This window comes from Homo sapiens, chromosome 9 (genome assembly GCF_000001405.40).
Source record: "Homo sapiens chromosome 9, GRCh38.p14 Primary Assembly".
In the NCBI taxonomy this organism is placed as follows: domain Eukaryota; kingdom Metazoa; phylum Chordata; class Mammalia; order Primates; family Hominidae; genus Homo; species Homo sapiens.
Window position 1 is genome coordinate 83,962,052 of NC_000009.12, and position 6,031 is coordinate 83,968,082.

The 6,031-nt window shown below is 43.2% G+C and overlaps 1 annotated feature.

Annotated features, from left to right (window-relative positions):
- Positions 637-1,267: an enhancer, noted in NCBI's record as "H3K27ac-H3K4me1 hESC enhancer chr9:86577603-86578233 (GRCh37/hg19 assembly coordinates)". NCBI's record gives its function as "activates a minimal SCP1, AML or CMV promoter by ChIP-STARR-seq in primed H9 embryonic stem cells {active_cell/tissue: H9 hESC(primed)}" and the evidence as "EXISTENCE:reporter gene assay evidence [ECO:0000049][PMID:30033119]".

Consider the following 6,031-nt stretch of genomic DNA (forward strand, 5'->3'; position numbering starts at 1 on the left):
ATTGTGCCCAGCCCATATTTTGCTTTTAATTAGTGAAGTTAATATTTCCTACTTAGGAGGAAGAGCTAAGTATTATTTTAAAACAGTACAAAAATAAACAGGTACAAAGGATTATTTAACTTGGATTCCCTTGAAAACAGAATCTGGGGCAGGGGTTAAGTGCTGATATTTAATCTATGAGGTGCAATCTTTGGGTGTGGACATTGACGGGGACACTGTATTGTCCTGCCACTGCTTCATGGTGAGCTCAGAGAGACACAGCTAGTCACTCAGTAGGAGTGCTGGCACAGTCTTTGGGGAAGTCTCTCGACAAACTTTCTGGACAAACTGCCTCAGGGCAGTTTTTGGGAGGAAGGAAAACAAATTCCCATTGGTTACAGTTTGCCCCACAGGGAGTTAACTCCTCCATAATTCCAGGTTGCATCATCCAGCTCCTTTGGTGGTTACTCAGGAAGTCGTATCCCTGTGAGGTGTGGCATTTTATCCAAGTCTGAAAGTGAAGGAAAAGCCAGAAACCCTAGGTATGGGCTGGGCATGGTGGCTAACACCTGTAATCCCAGCACTATGGGAGGCCGAGGCTGGCAAATTGTCTTGAGTCCATCAGTTCAACACCAGCCTGGGCAACATGGTGAAACCCCATCTCTACAAAAAATTTAAAAAAGTTAGCTGGGCATGGTGGCACGCGCCTCTAGTTCCTGCTACTCAGGAGGCTGAGGCAGGAGGATGGCTTGAACCTGGGAGGCAAAGGTTGCAGTGAGGAGAGATCCTGCCACTGTACTCCAGCCTGGGCAACAAAGTGAGATCCTATCTCAAAAAAAAAAAAAAAAAAAAAAAAAAAAAGAGCCCAGGTATGTTACTCATTGTCCTGCCTGTTCAACCTTGAGGTAGAGCCTGGCACTTTCTAGGAAATGACTGATCAGCCCCAGACATGGCGTAACTATGGTCTAGTGAAACTGGTTGGCAGCAGTGGCAGCTGAGGTGGAGCAAGAGCTGTCATCCATTATTTTGTTGCTGTCCTCCCTTAAATTAGCAATGCTGCCTGTATAAGATAAACCTCTTTAATTGAAGGGCTGCATGTAATAGCCACTGAATGGCTAAGCAAAATTAAAAAAAAAAAAATTTTAAGGCCGGGTGCGGTAGCTCATGCCTGTAATCTCAGCACTTTGGGAGTCCGAGGTGGGCGGATCACGAGGTCAGGAGATGTGAGACCATCCTGGCTAACACAGTGAAAACCTGTCTCTACTAAAAATACAAAAAATTAGCCAGGCGTGGTGGCACGAGCCTGTAGTCCCAGCTACTCAGGAGGCGGAGGCAGGAGAATCACTTGAACCTGGGAGACGGAGGTTGCAGTGAGCTAGTATCGCGCCACTGCACTCCAGCCTGGACGACAGAGCAAGACTGTCTCCAAAAAAAAAAAAAAAAAATTTAATTGGCAAATAAAATTATATGTACTTACGTACAACATGATGTTTTGAAGTATACTTGCATTGTGGAATGTTTAAATCTAGCTAATTAGTAAATGCATTACCTCACAGTTATTATTTTTGCGGTGAGAGGAATGTTTTGAAAGGTTATGAGAAAGCTCACACGATGGAAGAGAAGGCTGGGTAACCAGACTCATAAACAGAAAACCGGCAGCTTTAGAGTTTTGAGAGCAGAAACTGCCCAAAGTTGTCTTCTAATTAGTGCTATTTAAAAAATGAACTATAGGCTGGGCATGGTGGCTCATGCCTGAATCCTAGCACTTTGGGAGGCCAAGGCAGGCAGATTAACTGAGTTTAGGAGTTCAAGACCAGTCTGTGCTGGGTGTGGTGGCTCACGCCTGTAATCCCAGCACTTTGGGAGGCCGAGGTGGGCAGGAGTTTGAGACCAGCCTGGCCAACATGGTGAAACCCCGTCTGTACTAAAAATACAAAAATTAGCCGGGTGTGGTGGCGCCTGCCTGTAATCCCAGCTACATGGGAGGCTGAGGTAGGAGAATTGCTTGAATCCCAGAGGCAGAGGTTGCAGTGAACCAAGATTGCGCCATTGCACTCCAGCCTGGCAACAAGAGCGAAACTCCATCTCAGGAAAAAAAAAAAAAAAAAAAAAAAAGACCAGCCTGGCCAACATGGTGAAACCGTGTCTCTACTGAAAAAAAAAAAAAAAAAAAAAAAAAAAAAAAGGCGGGGCGCGGTGGCTCACGCCTGTAATCCCTAGCACTTTGGGAAGCCGAAGCGGGCAGATCACGAGGTCAGGAGATGGAGACCATCCTGGCTTACATGGTGAAACCCTGTCTCTACTAAAAATACAAAAAAATTAGCCGGGCGTGGTGGCGGACACCTGTAGTCCCAGCTACTCAGGAGGCTGAGGCAGGAGAATGGCGAGAACCCGGGAGGCGGAGCTTGCAGTGAGCAGAGATCACAGCACTGCACTCCAGCCTGGGTGACAGAGCAAGACTCTGTCTCAAAAAAAAAAAAAAAAAAAAAAAAAAAATTAGCTCGGTGTGGTGGCTGTAGTTCTGTAGTCCCAGCTACTCCGGAGGCTGAGGCAGGCAAATCACTTGAACCTGGCAGGCGGAGGTTGCAGTGAGCCGAGATGCCACTGTACTGCAGCCTGGGTGACAGAGGGAGACTATCTCAAAAAACAAACAAAAAACCCAAAAAAACCTATAAGCATTACAGCTTGCTTGCATCATTCTCCTCAAGATTGAAAATCTCAGGAGAAAGAGTCTGGTTGGCCAAGCCTAAATCAAATGTCCACCCTCTGGGGTGACAAAATAACCCGTTAAGGACCAGGATTTCTTTCTCCTCAAGCCTATGTACAATGGAGAGAGAAAAACTCAAGGAAAACTGTGTGCAATTAGAAAGGGGAAACTGATGTGGTATTAATAAGATGTCCATTATAATTCACCCTTTAGCTGTTCAGCATTCAAGAATTTTTTTCTCATGTACTTTCAGAAATACTAGTATAATGCAGTTATTCTTCATAAGTTTCTCACCCCCTCTTCTGAGGGAGACAACCCAGTCTCATTATTTGCTGCATCACAATCAAGTCCAGGATATGTGGGTGATGTACATTTCTGCTTTAGCTTCAGCTTAACTGTGTTAGATCAAGTCCTAGAAGCAGAGCCTAAGCCAGGGATTTTTGTGCAATTGATTCACTTCGAGAGTGCTCTCAGTTGAAGCAGAATGAGGAAAGGAGCACAGGGCAGGGAAAATTGGTCAAACCATGATGCAGTCTCAGCAGTGTCAGCCTGATCCCGAGTTCCAGAGTCTGAACTATACACAGAATTGGTACCAATTTGAGACACAAAGTATGAATAAATGATCTGAAGGCCCATTCCAAGTGAGATCACCTCCACCTAGAATTTATGGTTTGATTGCATTAGTCTTAACTCTCCTGTTTCTTGGTAATTCCAGGGTAAATTCCTAGATATGCCTTGTGAGTTTTCTCATAAATTCCCATTCCCACTGATAGCAGAAAAAACTGGTCTTCCTTTTTTTATTTGAGACGGAGTTTTTCTCTTGTTGCCCAGGCTAGAGTGCAGTGGCACGATCTCGGCTCACTGCAACCTCCGCCTCCCAGATTCAAGCAATTCTCCTGCCTCAGCCTCCTGAGCAGCTGGGATTATAGGTGTGCGCCAAAGCTAATATAACTGGCACTCAATTCAGTGGTCTCTCCTTGACTATCTCGCCTTGGCTTTCACTGGTACTGCAAATCTTTTGCTATTCTGCCATCTGTATCCAGCCACTAGCTGGGCTCTTTATCTTACAGCTGCTACTATGCAGTAACCCTATCTTTCACCATAATGACCCCATCACAAGTCCCATTGGTTCTCAAGTGATGTCCCTCTTACGACATCTGGGAATCAAAGGAAAATTCTGTGGGGTGTTTGTGTCTGTAATCTCAGATCATCTCTGTGCCAAACATTGTGTATCTCTCGGTCTTCTGTGCTTTCTATCCCATGTGGTCATAGGAACACTTTGCAGGGTTTCAAATTAGAAGTGAGGCTAGTGCCTTGTTTTTGTGCTTTTGGCGTCCTTTTCAACCCATCTGGAGTTTCTGCTCTCTCATTAATCATCTCCCACTGCTCTTGCCCCGGTCTGAAATATAGGAAGGTCTCTGGGGATGGCCTGAGCCAGGAGCCGAGATAGCACCACTGCACTCCAGCCTGGGCGACACAGCCAGACCATCTTTTTAAAAACAAAAATTCTTCTCCTTTTTTTGGTTCTCTTTAACATAAAAACTTACTGGATTGAGACAGGGTCTGTCACCCAGGCTGTAGTGCAGTAGTGCCATCAAGGTTCACTGCAGCCTCCACTTCCCGGGCTCAGGCGATCCTCCCACCTCAAGCCTCCTAACTGGGACTACAGGTACGCGCCACCATGCTTGGCTAATTTTTTGTAGAGATGGGGTTTCACCATATTGCCCAGGCTGTCTCAAACTCTTGGGCTCAAGCCATCTGTCCACCTTGGCCCCCAAAATGCTGGGGTTACACGTGTGAGCCACTGCACCGAGGCTAATTAAATTTACTTCGAATCACAGCAATCTGAAGCAATTCATTACCTAATTCACGTGGAACGGTAGTAATTGAGTACTAAAAAACCTTAAAACTAATGAAAGGGTTTTTTAAAAGGAAATTTTGCTGTTTGGTTTGATTTTCTTTGCTATTAGATCAGATTTAGTATTTTACATTATATGTCTCAGTACAATAAAACAAAGGCAAACAAAATTTGAATAGTAGGGAAAGGTTTTAAATTCTTGAGATAACTAGTACAACTTGGTTTCTGTCTGTTGGCATTTTGGTAATTAACTTACAAAAAGTTAGGCTAAATTTTTGAAACTAAGTCAGCATTATACACCAGTAACTTCTTACAAAATTGTCTCAATATTCCATTTAATTAAAGAGCTTATGTTCACTTCTCCCACCCTTTGTGAAAATTCTCCCAACCTGTCCCAATTCTCACCCAAATTTTAAATACCATTTACCAATCAATAGCAGTGGCAATGCAAAAGGCCCCTCTCCCTCCCAAAGCTGTATATCAAAGATATCAATACCAGATATTCTTCAATCCATTAAGTCTTCAGTAGAATGATGTGTTTAAGGTCTGAAATTATTGTAAAATGCAAAAGTGAAAACATTTGCAGCTAATGGTCCATGTGTTACATAACTCATTTACAGGTAACAGATAAAAGCTTTGGAAGCCAGTGTTCTCTCCAGGGATGCTTTCCTTCAGTAGGATTAACAATTTGACTAAAGTGTCCTTGTCATTTTTCTTTAGGGGTAAGGGCTCATTTCACCCTGAGCAACCCCAACTCAACCACACTGGGGAAACCATACCACAGGTAGCATTCACTAGTTTTAAGTAATATTTTGACATTTACTTCATGTTCTTCATTAATCAAAAGATCACTCTACGTCCCTCCCCAAACTAAATGTCACTCAACTCTACTTCCCTTAAAAGACATTATTCTGTTCATACTATTAATACTTACATGAATTCTAGAACTGCCCAACTGTTACTTTTATTATACACAAGCCTCTGACCTAAATTCAATAATTACATTCATGACTCCTTTCCTATATAGTTGTTCATCTGTTTTGAGGCAGGAAGATTGCTTGTGCCCAGAAGATGGAGGTTGCAGTGAGCCAAGATTATGCCACTGCACTCCAGCCTGGGAAAAACAGCAAGACACTGTCTCAAAAAACAAAACAAAACAAAACAAAAACAGTTTTCAAGCTTTCTGGACAGCTGGAGGTTAATAAGTAGTACTTCAGAAATATGAGCCGGGAACCATACTCTGCAGTTATTTTACATTATCTCCGATATTCTCAAACATCAAACTAAAGCTATTTTAGAGAAAGGAACCAAGTAACTCACTCAAAATTTCTCATAGGTAATGAGGAAAGCTCTGGCTGACTATAAGAAAAAAAAAATTGGATGACTAGGCTCTCATTTTGCTAAATTACCACGTTAATTATGAGCCCAACTACCACCCCTGCCAGCTTTCACTTATAAATGCTAGAAAAACACTTCACACAAAAAAA